This window comes from Homo sapiens, chromosome 13 (genome assembly GCF_000001405.40).
Source record: "Homo sapiens chromosome 13, GRCh38.p14 Primary Assembly".
NCBI classification, from domain to species: domain Eukaryota; kingdom Metazoa; phylum Chordata; class Mammalia; order Primates; family Hominidae; genus Homo; species Homo sapiens.
The window spans coordinates 67,795,737-67,818,490 of NC_000013.11; the positions used below are offsets into that span (position 1 = coordinate 67,795,737).

Sequence of the window (22,754 nt, forward strand, 5' to 3'; positions counted from 1 at the left end):
TTTCACATTGTCGAGGCGTTTATTCATTGGCTTTCAAAATTTTAGACTTGTTATGTTTCTGAGAATTTACAGATATAACATGTAATTAATCTAATTTATAAAATCGGCAAAAGATTTATAGAACTTTTCCAATAAAACCATCTTTGAAGATAAGCACGAAAAATAGCAAAGCCTGACAATCTTGAAATTTTCATGACTGTATCATTGGCAAAATTATAGGATAAAAGTACTGAAAATTTATACTGTGCTACTCAATAAATGTTTTTAAAATGTTTTATCTTCATAAGATTTAGATAGTATTTCAAAATATGAATAACGTAATAACAAGATTTTTAAGGAAAAAATACATTTTATGAAGAGAGAGAACTTCGAATAGAGTTGCTTAGACTTTTTTTTTGCTATTTCACTTTGTTTTCTACAATGATATTTGTGTCACTTATAATGGCTCTCTGATATTCACATATTTAACAATTATCAACAAAAGATTTTCCATTTATTTAAAAATCTTCCAAAGAATGGTGTACTCTAAATGTAAAAACAAAAAAGCATTGTATTTTAATTAGTTTAAAAGAATAATTGAATGGCATTAGGGAGAATAAAAATTTACAAGCTGAACTTTAACCAAAGCCTTGGCATAATGGGTGGATTGATTTGGAATGTGATCATCGCAATTCAGGAAGAACAGCTAATCATGTACTTTCATTTGGATATATTATCTTTGAAATATGTTTTTCAAGTATGGTAGTCATCAAATAGAATTATCCAAACAAACCTCTGAAGTGTAAAGTTTTATACCCAAACTTTAAAAAATAGTAAAGTATATTTAATCATATTTTCATTATTTATTTATAAAATCCACATACATTTGGAGATAAATTGGAATATATGTACAGAATGATATGTGGAGTATAATAAATCACATCTTAATCCAAAGCTTTAAAATTCAATAAAATTTTTATGATTGGAAAACAAGCAACTTATATAATAGAAAATATTTAAAAGTTCTATTACTTTTATCTCATCCACCTTAATTTCTATTTTTGATTATCTTTAATAACGTAAAAAATACTTTAGCATAGCATTCAAAGTATAGGGTAAAAAAATTTGAAAAATAAGCAAATGAGTAGGCATATTTTACTGTTGTAGCTTAAGAAATTTTATGGATTAAAGATAAAAGTTTGAAGTCCATTGATTTTTGGTATGAACTTCTTTAGTTTGTGACAATGATTCAATAATCAAAAGTTATTTTCTAGGTTTTCAACTAACAGACATGACTATATAAAAACACACAAATTATCAGTATACAGGATTTGGTTTGCTTTTGTGATCATAAACCCTGAAGGTACACACAATATAAAATAAATGTTCAAAAGTGAAATAGACATGCTTCTGAACTAAATTAGCCTGTTTAAGTACGAGCATTAAGAACATAATTGAGAAACTGTTTTCATGCATTGGTACCTATTTTGAATATTGGTAGACAATGATTAAAAGGCACTGGAGCATTCAGTGTGAAATATCACTGTTAAAATAAAGTGATTCTAATATTTGGCTATTTCCTACAGCATACTGAAACATAAAGAGACTTTGGCTAAATTTCTTTATCTTAATGCCACCATAAACTAATTAATATGAATACAAATAGATACAGCAATATGCAGAGTATCTGTGAATGTGTAATCTGTGTTTTACATGTAAGATATTTTGACTGATTTACTTTTCTACATATCTGTATTCCTATATGAAATCTACTGATTTCTTTACGTCAGCTCAAACCTTTAAGATAAGCTAAAGGACAAACAATATATTCTGTTGACTGCATTTATTTCATGAACATTAGTTTGTGTTTTCATGTGAAGCCTCTTAAATTACTCATTGATGACATTTTTCTTTTTGTGGAAAAGTAGCAGAAGTTTTTACATCATTTGCAACAAACTTTTTCTCCAAAGTAAAGGCTGAATAGCTGCTTAGGCAATGGGGGTATCATACAGGGACATTCCCCTGTTATTGGTCAAGTGGGGTGAAATAAAGAGTGAAGGAGGGAAAGTTTTCCCAGGTAGCTCAGAAAAATCCCAAGAAGAGAAACTTGCTGCAAGTGTGGTTGTCAAGTTATAAATATGGTAAAGGCCTATTTCAACTCTACCTAGGTGTGTAGTTATAATATCCTTACAATTTATTTCTTTCACTTTAACACTTTTCCAAATCCATGAGAAAGTGACTCTTAATTAGTACAGAAAGGATATAGGATGAGGTGAAAAAAGTATCCACTCTGAAGATGTATACCCTTAAGTTTGAATGCCATTTATTAGCTACAGGGCCTTAAATAACACATTAAACCTCAATAAGTTCCTATTTTATTACCACACCTACTTTTCAGGTTGTATTGTTATGATAATGATGTGAAGTCTCTGCACCCCTCAGTGTTGATAAGGATCCTTGATGAATACTTGTCTTCTCCCAAAGAGGAAGGCTTATTTAGATGCCTATAAAAACTCAGATTTTAAAACAATGCACATTTAAATACTATTAGGACATATATACAAATATAGATATTGGGAACAAATAGTCAAATTTTCTATGTGACCAAGATAGAAATGTAAATGATGAGAACATACTCTGTTTACTTACTCTCATTCATTGTTCCCGTGAATGTAGAATCCTACAGCCACTGTTGAAGACAGTTTGTCAGTTTCTTAAAAAAGTAGACATAATCTTACCATAATGATGCAGTATTATGCTCTTAGATTTTACCCAACTGAATTGCAAGTTTATGTCCACAAAAAAACTTGCAAACATATGTTTATAGTAGTTTTATTTATAATATCCCCAAATTGGAAGCAACCAAGATATTATTCAATAGGTGAATGAATAAATAAAGTGTAGTGCATTCATACAAGTGTACTATTCAGTAATAAAAAAAAAAATGAGCTCTCAGCCCATGAAAAGACATGGAGGAAACTTAACTATATGTTACTAAGTGAAGGAAGCCTATCTGAAAAGTCTACGTACTGTAACGTTTTAACAATATGCCGTTTTGGAAGAGGCAAAACTCTACAGACAGTAAATTTTTCATTGATTGCCAGGTGGAAGGGAGCGGGAAAGAGAATTGAATAGGTGAATTCATAAAGTGTATAATGCCATTTTGGGATGTTTTACTGCTGACAGTATTTAGGCTTCACCCCACCTTCTTCCCCTTCTGCCCCACATCTGGGTACACTGATAAGAAAATGCAGATGTTTTCTCTTTGACATCAGGGAGAATTTCATACAACGAAATCCTTGCTTTTGGGAAATACTCATTCCTGCCCCATCGTCTAACCACCATAAAAACCTCAATGCGGGCCGGGCGCGGTGGCTCACGCCTGTAATCCCAGCACTTTGGGAGGCCGAGGCGGGTGGATCATGAGGTCAGGAGATCGAGACCATCCTGGCTAACAAGGTGAAACCCCGTCTCTACTAAAAATACAAAAAAAATTAGCCGGGCGCGGTGGCGGGCGCCTGTAGTCCCAGCTACTCGGGAGGCTGAGGCAGGAGAATGGCGTGAACCCGGGAAGCGGAGCTTGCAGTGAGCCGAGATTGCGCCACTGCAGTCCGCAGTCTGGCCTGGGCGACAGAGCGAGACTCCGTCTCAAAAAAAAAAAAAAAAAAAAACCTCAATGCATTTTCCTTATCCCTCTCTCTCAAGCCATTTTTTGGCCTGCTTGGGAGCCTACCTTCTCTCCCTAGAAAGCCTCATCATGTGAGTAATGAACCTTTTTATAATCTATTGTTATGTGTATGGCATCATCAGTCTCAACATCCAAACCAAATTTTGGGTGGCAGTGAATTCTATATTTGAGAAATGTTCACAATAATTGTTGCTACAAGCAAGATGTATAGACAATGACCACCACTATTTACAAAAAGTCTTTCTTATTTGTTTGTCTTGTTAAATGGTCTGCTGCCTGATGGCAAACATGCTTTCTGAGCTACCGCTTGATAGCTATCTTGTCTTTTGGGCTGTGCTGCTTTATTCTGCATTTTCTAAGTTTTGTCTAGATTCTGTTTTAACTGAAATAAGTTGAAAGTTCAAAAATTGGCATTTAGCAACAGTTGTATAGAGTTTTGGTCCTCCTTAAAGCGGTCTAGCATTGTGTGTCTTGCCCAAGACCTATCTGTGTCTTAGATTGAACCAGGTCTGCTGGTTCATGGATAAACCATGACTGAGGCTGGGTTCAAGAAAATAAGTCTCACCTTTACCTTGTGACTGCTGGTGAGCAAGTCGACCATTGTCATAGGGTTGTCCTAAGCCCTGATAATACTTAGTTGAGTTTTTCTGGAAGAAAAAAAAAAAAAACCCTGTAAATATGAGGAAGGTGGAGAAGAATCCCCAAAGTCTATTTAGTAAATGCCAAAAATAAAAAGAAAAAAGTAAAGAAAACTGAATATGAAAATTCAGGTTAAAAAACTACCTTAGCAGAAATCCATAATTTTACCCAATAGATTATCCAAAATTTGCTAAAATAATTTATGTAGCAAAAAGAAAATGGGGCACAACAGAATATTGGTAAAATAGACACTATGTGGTATAGCAGACCTCTAGATCTTGCCATTTCATTTAACTGAAACTTTATACTGTACTCACTGAACAACTCCTCATTTCCCCCTCCCTCAACCCCTTACTTTGTGTTTCTGTGGGTTTGACTATTTTAGACACCTCAAATAAGTGGAGTCATGCAGTAATAATCCTTCTGTGACTGGCTTATTTCACTGTATAATGTCTCCTAGCTTCAGGATAAATCTCATGTTGTGTTCTTACAAAAAAAAAAGTGTGGCACAAGGAAACTTTTGGAAGCTATGAATATTTTTATTACCTTGATTGTGGTTATGATTTCATGGGTTTGTTTATATGTTCAAATTCATCAAATTGTATACATTAAATGTATGCAGGTCTTTATATGTCAGTATCTCAATAAAACTTTAAAAAAGGATGAAAGAGTGCTCATTGGTTTTTTCCTCCTCTACAACCCAGGTTCTGAATTAATTTTAAATCTGTTAACGTTTACCAAATTGCAAACTTTCATTGCCTTATTTAAAACTGAAGCTCCAGTCACTGTTATGTCTGGGGATCTCACAAAATGTAACCAAAGTAACTTCCATAGTATTAAGAGATTTAGTGAACCAAAATAGAGGATAAAATGGTCTGCCTCAATTTAACCATGCAAACAATTTCCTTGTTTAAATTTTCCCATGGTCATAGCACCCATTACCTTAAAAAAATGGGCAGGAACCTTCTGATCCAATGAATAATACGTTAAAACAAAATTATATCTTTGATGTTTATATAATGGATTTTTTTTTTAAAAAGTGACCAATAGACATTATTTTCTTCTGCCTCCACAGTTAAAATAGGAGTTTTTATGAGTTAATGCAGTCATATATAATTTAAAACGGGTCTTCAAAGACTGAAATCTATATACAAGACCTATTTAATAGAAGCAGTGATAATCTCCACTGCTTTAGCCTGTTCTTAAACTGGGAAAGAATGAAGGGTGCTTTACTGTGGTTTATCACACCTTAATGCTATTATTTCAATCATTCAGGCCTATACACACAGTGTTTTTAAATGAATGTCTTCATGCAATCATCCCCTGACTAATATTTTGAGATTATAGAGTTGGCTAACATGCTATGACCAGTGCCTATTTTAACAACCTCTTAGCTGCAGTTTTGCCTTTACGTTCAAAGAGCACAATACACCTTTTTTAGACACCCTAACTGCCATACCATCACACACGAACTTTTCAGGCAAAATCTTATTCTGACTCAACTCTTTACAGAGGTATAGATGTGACATCACACTGATAGTATCTTCCTCAGAAGAGACACATTTGACATTTATTCAAGACATGCAAATACTTACAAAGGACCTTACTAAAAGTGACCCTTTATGTCCTAAAACTTAAGAGGAGCACCGATGGTCTGTATACAGCATGACCTATTTTCCAATAAAGAGTTCCAGTCAAAGTGATGCTCTACATATTTAATGAACAGAAGGCAGGATATATTTTCAGTGTATGTAGCTGTGGAAGCACCTTGGTTAGTGGTGCAACTTTCTTAAAAAGAGGAGTGTCTTGGCAACATAGTTACTGGCACTAACTTCTTTTTTTGTTAAGCAAATTCAGACCTGCTCAGCTACTAAAAGAAAAAGGATATGGATCTCCAACTATAGCATTACTCAGTTCACCCTATAGCTTTTGAGAACTCTGTGTATATAAACATCTGATTTAATTGATCATCAGGTTGTAAAATGGTTTTTGTGTCCTAATAGAGAAGGCTGTGCAGACTTTCTGAGAGTTAAACATCAATAAGATCCTCAAAATGCTAGAGTTAACATTATGAATCAATGTTGAAACAGTTGTGGGAGGCTGTTTTTGGTAGCTCCTCCACACCTGTGAAATAGGGAAAGTGGGACTTATTTGCTCCTTCAATCTCACCCTCCCTCATGGTCTGTCATGTTTATGTTTAACCTGTTGAAGTCTGTTATCCTCCCTAGTGGAGGATATCCCTCTCAAGGATAAGCCAGGCCTTGCTTTTCCATTAATTTTTTTTTCTAGAGTGTAGAGCCTCACAGGGAGCCGGGAGTCTCAAATTCATCATCATAAACAACTTCTGGGTGCAGAAGAAGGGCCTCTAGCACCATCAGAAGAAAAGTCAGTGTCCAAACTCGTATTTTTCCAGGACTTCCTGATCTGAGCAATGTGAGCTACCCAATATTCCATAAGGTTATATGAATGACAATCCATATGCTCAGGTCAATGCAATGAAGGTCAGGTGGGGGTGGTGGAAAGAAAGAGAGAGAAAGAGAGACAGAGAGACTTTCAGTTACCTGAAAGTTCATCCAAGGCAAGAAGGCAGGGTCATATCCAGTACAAAAATAAATACTGTTAAAATTGGGGTTCCGATGAAGGTCATTGCTAGAGAAGCTTGTATGGTTGTCAAAAAGTGCAGTCTGTGGGATAACATGGCTCCCACACACGTAAAAATAATTTTCCACTGGGCATTAGAGTCCCTTAATATAGTTGGTTTTATTATTAATCCAGTGGGCTATAGAGATAATGGTCACAAATATTTGATTTAGCTTTGTCAATCCAAATATTTTTCTTTAAGTGTGCTCAAGTTATAAGAGAATGTACGGCCCAGCGTGGTGGCTCAAGCCTGTAATCCTAGCACTTTGGGAGCCGAGGCGAATGGATCACTTGAGGTCAGGAGTTCAAAACCAGTCTGGCCAATATGGTGAAATCCTGTCTCTACTAAAAAAAAAAAAAAAAAAATAGCCAGGTGTGGTGGTCACCTGTAAACCAGGTGTGGTGGTCACCTGTAATCCCAGCTACTTGGGAGGCTGAGGAAGGTGAATCACTTGAACCCAGGAGGCAGAGGTTGCAGCGGAGATTCGGCATATGAATAGGCTGTTTATCTGTTTTCATAGGGAGAAACCTCATGTGGGTGTGTCTTGGTAATTCAATGCCTGTAGATCCATTGGCCTTTTTGTGCAGTTAAGCTACTTGTCAATCTGTCTTGGGTCATGTGTTCCAAAGATAAGAAGAACAGGTGATATTCAGCCGACTAAAGAATTCAGTGTTTGCTCTCAGCAATTATTATGACGGATGGCTGCAGCACGCCATTGTTTTGTCTGCCTCGGAGGTGGTCGTGGCAAGACTGTCTCTGCTCCGGAGGGGTGTTTAGCTACATGTTTACAAAAGTGGCTAAGGCCTTAGGGATTAGATTTATCTCACAGTTAAAGGCAGCTTTTTCTTTACAAAGTAGAAACTTTAGGGATTTGTCCTAGACTATGCGATTTTAAACAAGAGAAGCCTAATTTCAGGATAAGATAGTTAGGTTGAAAAAATTATGATTTTTTTTTTTAAAGGAGGCACCAGGTCTCCATTGAAATCATCTAACATCCCAGTTAGTAACTACTTAGCAAAGTTAGGAAGGCCTGGATTCCACAGACACAAAGGCTGGACAAATACCAGTTGGGTCTTAGTGGCAAAAGTTCTAGTCAACTGTGGGGTTGGCAACTAATAATATCTGCAATTCCACAGAGACTAAAACAAGTTAATATACTGCAAAAAAAGAGCTTAATTTACGTTGTCTGGACTGTATTTAAAGGTTCTTGGTCTCAAGATTTCATTCGATTTGGACATGTGTCTGTTTATTTGATATAATGTTTGTAGTGCATTCCCAGATGTACAATATGCTATCTTCAGTTTTCAAAGAGGCTAATTGGTCTTGGGCCAGTTTATCCGTAGTTGGTTCTGAAGGTTCAGCAGTTTATCTTCAATAGAATATCCTTACTTCTACCAGTAGTTTATGTGGTACTAGGGTTTGCACAACCCACTGATGACAATTGTTGGCATGCTAAACCAAATACAGGGAATCTTCTTTTTGCTTCCTTTTTTCAGGAGGGTTATAAAAAATAAAGCATTGGAAATACCCCTCCCCCAAACTAAATGCTAATTGCAGCAGTGATAGCATACTCACAAGTCACAAGGGTCAATACTGTCTAATCCTCTACAGTCTACAGAATGTGCCAACAACCACTGGCCTTCAAGGGCCAGCCAGTTATTACACTTGGATAATATATTGAATAGCATTATAGCTTTAATACATATTTTATGTGAAGATCAAGGTCTTTATCTTCTGTCTATGGTACTGTTTCAATCGTGCAGTTTTGGGAGGTTTTATGGATACCAAACATTCTTGGCTGAGGATAAGATTGACTTTTGTGGAAGCCAAAGATATGGGTAACAATGCATGTATTCAATCAGCATGTCCAGATGGATGGCCTGGAAGGTTCTCTCTCCTTTTTCTGTGGCTTCACAGAGAGCTGGTTCAGCAGGTCTAAGTTAGTTCAACAAACAAATAGGTTAGTTTAAAATACTGAGCTCCTGAGTCTTCCCAGTTTTAACAAGGCCAATTCTCTGACTAGGCAATTTCCATTCTTACATGGTTACATGGATAGTCTCTGCTCCCAACACTAAAAATATATACTGCATTATGTGTATGGAAAGCCTAGGTACTGAAACTTGGCCATGACTTTTTATAGACCATCTGTGCTCAGCCTAAACAGAGGATAATGAGAATTTGGAAGATTAGGTGAGCTTTGCTTGGACTTTTTTCTTATAAAGTCCTATATTTTTATATCTGCACTACTTGGTACTAGAGGAATGTGCCCATGAACGTTTTACATGAAAGTATGGCAAGCTCTGATAACCTGAGGCAACATTTAAGTCAGGTGTATACTAGGAAATTTTTCTCAGTATGGGAATAACTGCTTGCCACTGTTTTGTTTGTTTGTTTGTTTGTTTTTTGTATTTTGTTTTGTTTGTTTTTCCAGAAGTAAACTCCATGGTTCTCTTATGTAGTCTTTTTCTCTAGTATTTCACACATGGATCAACTGTTTTAAAAGATGAGTCCACATGTTAAGGACTTTTAGTAGCCCATATTTGAATGTTAGTTTTATAGGCTTTATCCTCTTATTCACTGCCAATCCCTGCTATTTGTTTTCTGTATTGTCTAGAGTAGCGCTTCTCTAAAATCTTGGTAGGAGCTAATTTTGCATGTTATAAAAGAAACATTTGCAATGTGTAAAGCCTTGATCTAGTTAACATATGCTGATTTATAGCTAACATACACTGAGAACTTTTTTACCAGTTGTATTAAACTCATTACAAGGAACAATTCAGTAAGTCATTCAATAGCTCTATGAGATTTAATATATAAATGATATGCCTATAGTACACAAAAATCTAGCTAAATGAATTTAAAAGTTTGATGGAAAAAGTTAATATATGATGATAAAAATATTAATGTATATGTATTTAATCTTTGAAACAGTCCTTTCTAAGTATAAGAATTTTAAAAGTATATACATTAAAAGAATAGCATATTTGGACAAATATTTAAAAATTCTATGTATAATAATACTGTGAAGAAGGTAAATGTTGAACAGGAAGAATCATTGTTATACATATGACAAAGAAATTATAAGCTTATCATAAAAATCTCTATTATGTTGAGAAGAAAATTAGAAACATCATAACAGAAAGATATTTAAAATACTTGAATATCTAACTCATGAGAGATAAAACAAATAAATGTATTATTAATGATATTAAATAAAAATATCAAACACTTTTTGAGCATTTGCTTTGAGCCTGACAACACACTCAGCATTTTACAAATCTCACTGCACTTAATCCTCACTAAAACTTTCTAGGAATTAGAGTCACACAAACTTTAAAGATGAGTTAACTGAAGCAGAGAAAGGCAGAATGATTTGACAAAAGATATACAACTAGTAACAATTGTATTCCATGGCAATAAAAAAAGAAAAAAATTGACTTTTGTTTTGGCGAATTTAATTACCATGTTTTTTTTGGGAGTGAAGGGTCTGTATTTTCTGACACTGGTGATGGAAGAGTAAATTGTAAAGCATTTTAAAGGGCAGTATGAGATCAAATGTTAAGGGCTTTATCAGCATTTATAGTTTTGATCCAATAATCCATTTGAATTAATGTATTGAATTAAAGAAGGGTTTCAATAATTTTTAACTATATGGGAAAATGTCTGTAAAAAGACAATAGATACATATGCATTTATATATATATGCTTGTGTGTGTATGTTCACACATATTTATATAACATATAACATTAAATATGTATATATATGAATTATATACATATAAATGCAGCATAACCATGATCTTTATATAAAATGTATTTCCAATTTTGTTTATAAAATGTAATCACACACCCATACATAATTAAAGAAATTTCTAAAATATTTTAAGGTTTGCAACATTGTGAATGTGGATTTATTTAAAAAAATTTACATTCTTAATTTTTTAAAAATAAGTAATTATTAATATGAGAAAATATAAAGTGACTATAATGACTTTATCCTCTTGCATTGGATACTAATTTAAAATAATTAAGCTTGTCAAAGCACATGTAACTCTGAAAATTCATATAATTCAAAATGAACTTTCAGGATTTTTTTTACAGTTTGGCATTAATGATGCCAATTAATGGCCTCCCTGACTGTAACTCTGCAGTGCCCTTTTATTCTATGGGCTCATGAACATGACTTGTTTTGGCCAACCACATATTATCAGCAAGCATGACACAGCAGAGGCTTAAGAAGTATGTGTATGTGTTCTCTTGATCCCTACTGCATGACTTGGCTTGCTTCCTCTTGGGTCCCTGCCACAAGGATGAGAATATGGCAAGAGTGCTATAGGAATATGAGGAATACATGGAAGAGGGCCCAGTTGTCCCAGCTGAGACCATTCTAGAGCAGCCAGCCATATCCAAGTGCCAACCAACCTAAAATGCATGAACAAGCCCAGCTGAGTTCTATCAAAAATGACCCAAATCATCACAACTACTCTTCTCTCCTATTGTCTCCAAAAATATAATAAATTACTTTTTTAAAGTCATTATGTTTGGGTGGTTTTCTATGCAGCATTATTTTAGTAATAGATAACTGATCTTCCTTGTATGGGAAGTTTACATTGGTCAATACAGCTGATACATTGGATTTTTCTGTTTACAGAAATCAGGCAGAGAAACTAAAAATCTTGAACACTGAAGTTACATAAATGGGAATATTAACATCTAGAATAGATACGTCATCTCATTTTCAAATAGCTAGATAGTGTTCATGTTTTTAATTTCCAACACAGTTTTCCATAGCTTATTATATACGTGTGTATATATATATCCCTTTCATGAGAAATGTAAATATTATATATATTATTTGAATATTTTGATATGTTGCATCGTTATTTTAGATTCTGACATAATACTTGGTAGGAGCAAACTTTTTAGTATTTAAGGTAGATAATTGGCTCAAAAAACTATACATAGCTTTCACAAATTTATGTTGACAAAAGATTGTTACATAATCTCCTAAGATAAAAACCTGTGAAATCATTTTAAGTCATTGCTAAAACACAACATCATGGTGAAAACTCAGGATAACGTTTAATGTAAGATGCAGGAAAAAAAAAACAACTTTAAAAACAACACATGACTGAACGTAAAAGCTTTTAACTTACGTCTATACGTTTCAGGACTTATATTATTTGTCTGATAACAAAAGCACACAGTCGGGTTAATAATATACCATGTACTTTTTGAAGCAGTAATAAAAATTATATTTTACTTCACTAACAAGAATCCATAGGCAATAGGAATAGCATTGCTAATTCATCAAAAATATTGAATCCTGAAACACCTGGAGATATTTAATTCAATCTGTTTTACATTTGATGTAATATGCCTGATGTCACACTGCTGGTTTTTGGCAGAGCTTGGATTACTCCTCGGGTCTCTTGGTTACTTATTTAGTGATCCTTGTGCTAATCTCTGTTTAGTGATATATAAGAGCTAAACCTAAGGCAATGAAGTAAAATTATGAATACCCCCTTAACAATGGGCTATGGCCACATCTATATGTTAATGTACCACCAATCAAACAGGAAAATAAATTCTATATGCAGACAGGTATAATTGGTGCATATAGCTATGCTCATTTTACTAAGATCTGCCTAAAAATCACTTTTTTCCCAAAATGACCACTGTGAGGGGCTATCTCTTCATATTATTTAACTGGTGAAGAGGGTGTACCTCTAATATTACTTCCCTACTCCTACCTTAGTTGTCTGTTTATAATAAATGTTTGAATCCATTTGCCCAACATCATTTTCTGTAAGGGATAAAATGTTCAGTTCATTGAAATGTTTGGATACTGGATGGTGATTCACGTACCATGTGTTTTCAGGGCATGTGTTTTCAGGTGATAGTGAAATGCATGTTTGAATCAATGGATGAATAAATGATTACAGCAGTAAATAGCTACTAAGTTCCCTAGTGGTATAAAATTCATCTAGAGGGCCATGTGTTATGATTTCTCAATGGCAGCTGTTTTCAAAGGTATAATTATGACATTAAATTTACTTTTAATAGGACTTGCGGAGTTGACAAATTCCTAGTGTGTTTCTTTTGAAAAGACACTGCTGTTTTTCCTTTTATTATTGTCTGAGAGAACACTGAATTCTGCCTCTACCAACTCCCTGCTATTGATCTCTCTTCCCCTACTTTTCCTCAGAGCTTAAAGAGCATCTTAATTACTCACAGCTGCTAATTAACTTACTAGTTTAGTTTGAGATCCAATTTTCTAAAACTACAAAGGGCAAATGGAATTATTTATATAATTGTGCATTTGATGAAATGTTGCATTTAATTTTTTTTTAAAAACCATGTAACAAATACTTACACAGTACTTACTATGTGCCAGCTCCTGTTCACGTGCTTAAAAACTGTTAACTCATTTAATTCTTACAACAACCATATGAAGGAGGTACTGCTTTTATCCTAATTTGACTTATGTGAAAATTGAGGCATAAAGAGATTAAATAATTTGCCCAAGATCATGCAACTAATAAATAGCAGAGCTTGGAGAAATCCAGGCTGTCTATCTCCAGAGACTGAGCTTTTATGTTTCTTCTCAGCGACCTCTGAAATCTTACTCATCTTACCCAACTTTTGGCCTGTTCATATTTCTCTAGAGCATCACTTTGAATTGTACTTCAAGGGCTTCAGAATTTAAGATTATTTTTCAAAATTGTTTGGCCAGGTAAATATTTTCATTCGAAGTCAAGTTTGAAATGGTTATATAATGCATGTTCTTAATTTTCTGTTATGGTTCTTTTTAATGAATGGGCATTTTAATAATTTGCTGCAGATTTTATTTTCGTCTCTACTTACCATTACATTGCAATTTATTAATTAGTTACGTTAGAACATTTGTAGAAGTTCAAAGGTTAATAAAGCGTAACAGCTGTTTAGAATATTAGAATAATATACTGGTATCACTGTGCAGATTATTAGTAACATTTGTTGCAACTTAACAGACAAAAAAAAATCTTTCTGAAACTTTGACCACTATGGTAAACTCTAAAATTGTCATTGTCACCATCTTAGATCAAACCCATTCTGAAGATGACACTGCCTCTGGAGTCTATTAATGTTTCTGTACAATAAAAGGTGAATAGAAACTTACTCATCACTCTTGGGAAGTTATGTGTTTTTCAAATAATCTTACATTTATAGGAAGAGAGAAGAGCAAGAGTAAGACAGAGAGAGGAGAGAAATAAAGCAGATATACTCTTTCATATTTATAAAGCAACTATGGTAAGATGAAAACAGTGAATTGATAAAACATCTCACTTTGGTTTTATAGAGTATCTGTCTTAGGCTGGCACCAAGGTTATTTAGAAAAGAAGCTTTCCATTTCTTAGCAGAAATAACTTGTATTTTTTTGTGGATGCTTCTTTAGGGTTTATGGTAATAGAGACTATAAGTGCTACCACAGGTTACTAGAAGTTATAGCTGTATTGGAAGTATGTTATGGCAAGAATATCATAAATATGATAAGAACAATGAAATGTTCTTGATTTACATTTACATAGTATATTGCAAATGCATTCAAATGCATTTTACTGAATTTAATGTTGGTTGGGGAAAGACTGGAAAAATGCAGAAGTCATTTGGAAATTTAAATGACTATAAATTCTTCCCAATAGGAAGTTGGCATTCTATTTAGGTTTACCTAGTGAAAAATTTCTATCTGTTAAAGTAGAAAGGAAGGAATGAGCAGAAACAGAATTAAATGAAATAATCATTGAGACAGCCAACTTTACCTTGTCTGGAAACATAATGCATTATTTTTCAATAAAATAAACATAATATCTGTCAAATTTATAAAACCATAGCTATTGAGCATATAAATACAACTTACATTAGTTGCTTTTATTTAAAAAACATTTTTACCTACTTTTTATACTCAAAAATTGTGTTAGTACTCTGGTACTAAATCTGGATGCTTTAGTGTTAGGTGAGAAAAGGGTACTCTTACATTTCTGTGTTGGTACTCAGGGTTATATTAAAAATAGCTTATGAGATTTAATTTGGAGTCAATTGCAATTATATATCATATATTGTTACATCGTATTCCAATAATTGTCTTACAAATCTTTGTATTGACAACTTTGGCATAACATATTTACAGAGCTCCAACTACTTCAAGACAATGGTAATTTATAATGAACAATATCTTTCAAAAGATAAAACAAAACCCTTTTGCTCTATTATTTTAATTGTCATAAAGAACATATAATATTAGAAGACCAAGAAAAGTGTATGAAACTCTGCTTTAATATGTTTAGATTTTTTTGAGAAAAAATTTAAAAAAATTTAGAAATTGGGTTATTTCTTTGATTTTTGTATACTTTTTTTATTAGGTTTTTTTTACTGTGGCTTTAAATTTAATCTTTTGTTTTAGGGATTTCTTTTGTTTGGTCTTTTGATAGATGCTGTAAGGATCACATGCTGTAAGCCTACCATATAGAGTTAATAGAAGCCTACTTTACTCAAAGTATAAGGTATTTGAAATGGTATAACCCATTTGCCTCACATCCTTGTGCTCTTATTTCCATATACATTATATCTATCTACTAACTTTAAACCACAATGTAGTTATTGATTCAATTAGTCTTATGCTTTTAAAGAGGAAAGTGACAGTATTTTATAGTTTAAACACAAACTATATCATTTCTTGTGCTTGATATTTCTTCCTTTATATTTGACATTCAATTTGCCTTCAATTCCCTTCAACTTGAAGAAATTACTTTAATATTTTGTATCATATATTTGCTGCTGATAAATTTCTCCAAGACTTAATTTTTTCTGAAAATATCAGAATTTCATTCTTGTATTAGTCTGTTCCCATACTGCTAATAAAGACATACCTGAGACTAACTAATTTATAAAGGAAAGAGGTTTAATTGACTCACAGTTCTACATGGCTGGGAAAGCCTCACAATCATGGCAGAAGGTGAATGAGGAGCAAAGTCATGTCTCATATGGTAGCAGGCAAGAGAGTTTCTGCAGGGGAATTCCTATTTATAAAACCATCAGCTCTCATGAGACTTATTCACTACCACAAGAACAGTATGGAGAAAATGGCCACCATAATTTAATTATCTCCACCTGGCCCCACTTTTGACATGTGGGGATTATTACAATTCAAGGTAATATTTGGATGAGGACACAGCCAAACCATATCATTCTGCCCCTGCCCCCTCCCAAATCTCATGTCCTCACGTTTAAAAACCAATCATACCTACCCAACAGTCCCCCAAAGTCTTAACTCATTTCAGCATTAACTCAAAAGTCCATAGTCCAAAGTCTCATCTGAGACAAGGCAAGTCCCTTCTGCCTATGAGCCTGTAAAATCAAAAGCAAGTTAGTTACTTCCTAGATAGAATGGGGGTACAGGCAGTTGGTATATACACCCATTCCAAATGGGAGAAATTGGCCAAAATGAAGGTGTTGCAGTCCCCATGCAAGTCTGAAATCCAGTGGAACAGTCAAATCTTAAAGCTCAAAAATGATCTCTTTTGATTCTTTGTCTCACATTCAGGTCACACTGATGTAAGAGGTGGGTTCCTATGGCCTTGGACAGCTCTGCCACTGGTCTTGTGATGGGAAGGGCTGCCATGAAGCTTTCTGACATGCTCTGGAGACATTTCCTCATTGTCTTGATGATTAACCTTCAGCTCCTTGCTACTCATGCAAATTTCTACAGCAAGTTTGAATTTCTTCCCAGAAAATGGGTTTTTCTTTTCTATTGTATCATCAGGCTGCAAATTTTTCAAATTTTATGTTCTTCTTCCCTTTTAAACATAAGTTCCAATTCCAAACCATATATTTGTGAATCTATAAAACTGAATGCTTTTAACAGCACCCAAGTCACATCTTGAATGCTTTGCTGCTTAGAAATTTCTTCTGCCAGATACCTTAAATCACCTCTCTCAAGTTCAAATTTCCACAAATGTCTAGGGCAGGGGCAAAATGCTACCAATCTCTTTGCTAAAGTACAACAAAAGCCATTTTTGCTCCAGTTCCCAATAAGTTTCTCATCACCATCTGAGACCACTCAGCTTGGACTTTATTGTCCATATCACTATCAGCATTTTGGTCAAAACCATTCAACAAGTCTCTAGGAAGTTCCAGACTTTCCCGTATTTTCCTGTCTTCTTCTGAGCCCTACAAACTGTTCCAACCTCTGCCTATTACCCAGTTCCAAAGTTGCTCCCACATTTTCAGGTATCTTTACACCAACACCTCACTCTTGGTACCAATTTACTGTATTAGTTTGTTCCCACGCTACTAATACAGACATACCCCATACTGGGTAATTTATAAAGAAAAAAGGTTTACTTGATTCAGTTTTATGTGGCTGGGGAAACCTCACAACCATGGTGGAAGGCAAATAGGAGCAAAGTCACATCTTACATGGCAGCAGGCAAGAGAGCTTGTGAAGGGGAACTTCGATTTATAAAACCATCACATCTTGTGAGACTTATTCACTATGAGGAGAAAAGTATGGGGAAACGGCCCCCATGATTCAATTATCTCTACCAGGCCCCACGCTTGACATGTGGAGTTTATTGCAATTCAAGGTGAGATTTGGGTGGAGACACAGCCAAACCATATCAAGTCTTATTTTTAAAACATTTTTAGTTGGGCACAGAATTTGGCATTAACCGTTTATTTCAGCATTTTTTATTGTCATTTGATCCCATGTCCCTAGTGAAAATTCGACCATCTTTCTTACCATTTTTCCCATTTGTGTAATGTTGCATTTTTTTTTTGGTTCCTTTCAATATCTTCTCCTTTTCATCTGTGGTTATCAGTAATTTGGTTATTATGCCTAGATGGGACTTTCTTTTCTTTTTTTTTTTTTTTTTCTTAATTCGGCTTGGGGTTAACTGAGCTTATTGAGTTTGTAAATTGATTTTTTTTTTTTAACCATACGTGAAGAAATTTTCATCATTATTTTTTCAGATATATTTCTATCTCAGTTTAACTCTCTTTCTGATAATCAAATTACATATAAGTTAGATACATTTATATTGTCTTATAGGAGCTTGAGTCTCTACTTAAAATTATTTTCCTCTTTGTTCTTCAGATCCAGTAACAACTATATGTCTATTCAAACTCACTAAAAATGTCTTCTGTCTTTCTGTACAGTTACAGCTGTTTATTGATTTTAGGTTTATTTCAGCTACTATAATTTTTATTTATAAAATTTTTATTATATATATACTTTTTTTTGAGACGGAGTCTCGGTCTGTCACTAGGCAGGCGTGCAGTGGCACAATCTTGGCTCACTGCAACCTCCACTTCCCAGGTTCAGGCAATTCTCCTGACTCAGCCTCCTGAGTAGCTGGAACTACAGGCTTCTGCCACCAAGACCAGCTATTTTTTGTATTTTTAGTAGAGACAGGGTTTCACCATGTTGGCCAAGATGGTCTCAATCTCTTGACCTCGTGATCCACCTGCCTTGGCCTCCCAAAGTGCTGGGATTACAGGCATGAGCCACCGGACCTGGCCATTTTTATATCTTATTTTGCTCACAGAAACATGCACATGATTTTTTATAGTGGTTTTATTCATAGTTGCTCAAAACTGGAGGCAACCAAAATATCCCTCATATATAGACGAATGAATAAGCACACTGTGGTACATTCACAAAATAGAAATGAGCTATCAATGATAAAAGGATAAAAAGATGATAAAAAGAAATGAACTATCAATGTACAAGAAGATGTGGAGGAACCAAAAATGCATATTGCTAAGTTAAAAGAAAAGGTCTGAAAAGGCTATATAATGTATGATTTTATCTATATGACATCCTGGAAAAGGAAAAATACATATGGATCAACAAAAAGATTAGTGGTTGCTAGGAGTTGTAGGGAGAAAAAGGAAGGGATAAATAGGTAAAATTCAAGAAATTTGGGGACACTGAAACTATTCTGTGTGAGACTTTAGTGGTGAATATATGAAATTATGCATTTGTCAAAACCAATAGACCTGTACAACAGAGCGAACCCTAGTGTAAGCTACGTACTTTAGTTAATAATAGTGTATCAATATGGGTTCATCAATTTTAACAAATGTACTACAATAACACAAGATGTTAAGAAAATGGGGGGTATTGTGAGAGGGGTAAGGTGGTATGTGGGAAATCTCTGTACTATATTCTCAATTTTCCTATAAATGTAATACTGCTTTAAAAGTTGAAGTCTATTAAAGTGAGAGGATCATTTTCTTTTTTTGTTTGCATTTTTCTGCAGAGATTCCAAATATGTTTATTCAAATAAACATTTTTCAAGTCCTTGAGTATAATAGTTATTTTTAATTTATGCTAATCTCTATGAATGATTATATTCCATATTTTTAAACTCTTTTTCTTTGAAAAGGACACATCATAGAGATTCTGGATTTGTTCCTTCTCTGAGGAGTGCTGATTTCTTTTCTAGCTAGTAGTTTACTTGACCTAATTTCTCCACTCCAAATTGTCTTGCTTAATATGGGCAGCAGTTGAAACTATTCAATTCTTTTAAATTCTGGCTGTAGCTGTTTTGCCTGGACGATTGGAGTCTCTCCCATGCTTGCACACTTCTGATGTTAACAAAGGACTAGAGAAATGTTTGAAGGCAGAACATGGGGTTTCTTCCTCTTGTTTCAATTTCTTCCTTAGTTTTTTCTCTTACTTTTTAGATTCCCTGGGAATCTTAAATTTCATCCTTTGGATCTTTAAACAAGTAATAATGTTGTACTTTCTTCATCTATACATCTTGTATTGCTTGGTTTGGAGAGCGCCTTCAAGCAAAGTGCTGTGTAAAAATTTTACCCCGTGCAGTTTTCTTTCTGTCACGGTGGAGTCCTTTCTGGTTTCTCCTGCATTAATTTACTCTTAGTCACTTCAAATAGTTGTTTCTATCCAGAATTTGCAATTGTGTTTGGCAAAACACAATTGGTCTGATATAAAATGTACCCTCATTATTGGGAGTAGAAATTTTTATTTTTTCTACTTTTATTTTTTCTGGATTTATTAGAGGAGTTTATTATTTGATGACTTTTATTAGTAGTATGTTATTATTTTATTATTACTAGTATTAATACAACTTTATTGGCAATCCTTAAAATTTGGCTTTCTGAGACCAGACAAAAATATCAATCTATAAATAATTTTGGAACTAAAAATCACAAGCAAGATAAAAAATGTGGTGTATCAAATCTGCCTCACAGTTATACATTTTGACCATGATATATTTAGGTCATAGTAACTTCCCTCTACCAATAATTTTTTTAATGAACTCCCAATTTCAACCCACAAGGTCATGTCTGCGCACAGGTTAAAACAGGAGAAATGGTGTTGATTGAGCCATTAGAAGAGACAGAAACAATCAGCATATAATTGCAGGCACTAACTTTTGCTCTGAGGGTTTCCTTCCTGCTTCAAAAGTAAGCTCCTGGCATTTGGTCCTTGCAACTCCACAATGAAAAGTTTTAAAAATATATAACTGGGTTGAGTAATTATTCTTCTATTTATTAGCTATGTAAACTTTGAAATATTGACTCCTGTTAGTCTCAATTTCTTCTGACCTGGGATTTTGTGAGAAGAAAATACTATAATTTAAATAAAATTCTGTGAAATAAGCGCTCAGTCAGTAAAACTTGAAAACTTTTTAAGTATCCAGGGATGTTTCTAACACATAATGGAAAGTATTTGTTTATTCTCTCCCTTCCCCAGAGATGATTGCTGACCACATGCTATCCTATAATTTGGAGACTACGACGTGGATTTCTTCATGTTAGCACTAAAATAGAAAAAAAATTCCCATAAAAAGTTTCCCCTTGCCTTTCCTTTAGTAACAATTGTATTACTAAAGATCTGCTTTTTAGCTAAGACTTGAGGACTAGAAAGTAATTAATTTCATCTTATTTGCATTGCTCTCTTATTTTTCTCTCTTATATTTTGGATAATATCATGTCATTATGTCTCTTTTCCCCCCATTTCATTTTCAAATCATTTGCTACAAGCCATTCTGCACCTATTCTTTGACAATTATTTTAAGACACTTTCAGGGCCTCTGAAGCTAGTTTTTGAAGTATATTATAGACTAAAATATGGCAAGCTAGGTAAGGAAAGCCAAGAAGATATGTGTTAGTCCTTATCTATTTCCAATTTATATGGTAAACTTTGACAACAAAGCCCTAGTTTGACATCATCACATGTTCTCATAAAAATGCCTGTCTCACTGGATACATAAAGAATAATTATAAGCCAGTAAAATTATTAGACTCTTCTGCTGTAGATACAACAAATTATCAAGTATTTTGAGAAAATATCTATTTCACTATTACTTTTCCACTTGTAACCTTTTCATTGGTATCAAAATTAATAATAAATTCTGTATTAAGAACATAAAATGTCACAACTTTAACACAATTCTTCATTTTGGGGTTGAGTTTAGTTGAATATTATGTTTTTAATTTTTATTGTATGTTTTTTAATTTTATTTTTTATTGATGAATAGTAATTTTACATATTTGTGGGGTACGTGTGCTATTTTGATACACGTATACAATGTGTAATCATCAAATAACCTCAAATATTCATTATATCTTTGTGTTGGGAACATTTCAAATCTTCTGTTTTAGCTATTTTGAAAAGAAATGACTGTTAACTATAGTCACCCTACTGTGCTGTCAAACACTAGAACATATGTGCCAAGAGAAAAGCCGCATCATAATTGGAGTTTGGAATTTTTTTATTTGCACTTTGGAGAGCTTTTGCCAGAGCAGTTAATCAGATATTGTATCTGGCAGGAAGCAAATGTTATGGAAGAAAGAAAAAAAACTATAAAAAAATTTTTAAAATAAAAAAACTGATCAAGATATTGTTTTAAAATTAAAAAATATAAATACTTTTATTCCATATAAACTAAATAAATTATATAAATACAAAAATGACTGAATAATATTATAATCCACCAAACTTCTTTCTCTTCTTTACTGTAATTGCCACAATACTGTCAGCTACATATCTCCTTCAAAACACTCACATCAAACATGGAGGTTTCAACTTGGTTAAACCCAATAATTTCCAAAGAAAAATATCACATTTAATTGATTTTATTGTAATGTACTTTGAGTTCCGTGTGATGTTATGACCTTCAGCTATAGTCTTATTGCTGTTCCCTATTATCAGTTTGAGGCACTAGGTTAAAATATGACCTTTAACAATTACCAAAAGGAATCATCTGTGTTTTCTCAACTTGAGAAGTTATGGGTTCTTTTAACCTTTTGAGGAAAGCTTTTATTCATCTAGCGTTATTTAAAAACCCAAATGACTTTTTGAGACACTTTCAATTCTGAAGAAAGAAGACATTTAAAGAAGGACAAGATAAGTATTAAAATTAAGCATTTAGTAATCAGGGTGTGGATTCTTTCCTGTGATGTATTCAAAAGCATGTGAACATTCAGTATTATTGCAACTTGATGTCAACCCTATTTAGAGAACCAAAAACCTTGAAAATCTTTTGAGCTTCTGAATATGACTGAAGAAGTCTCTGGTGATATTGCAGTTTGTCTGACAGTGTATAAATTCAAAAATTTTGAAGTTTTACTTTCCACATAAGTTGTCAGAGACTTTGATTTAACATTTATTTATTTAACATTTTCCACAGATTAAGAGCATTAATTAACAATTAATTAATAAAATGTGAAAAATATTGTCATAGGGAATGCTTGGATTCCATCTCAAATTAACTGGTGAGTTGAAAGAACTGA

At 33.7% G+C, this 22,754-nt stretch overlaps 1 long non-coding RNA gene across 2 annotated transcripts in view; it reads right to left on the reverse strand.

Annotated features, from left to right (window-relative positions):
- The window catches only part of LOC105370251 (uncharacterized), a 74,385-nt gene that overhangs the window by 11,967 nt on the left and 39,664 nt on the right, over positions 1-22,754 (reverse strand). The window contains exons 2-3 of one of the 2 annotated variants that reach the window (XR_942050.2): positions 4,239-4,314; positions 2,371-2,483 (exon numbers count right to left, since the gene is read on the reverse strand). This is a non-coding gene — a long non-coding RNA (uncharacterized LOC105370251). Of the gene's footprint in view, positions 1-2,370; positions 2,484-4,232; positions 4,315-22,754 lie in introns of both variants that reach the window. The other variant, XR_942049.3, reaches the window with a different exon arrangement.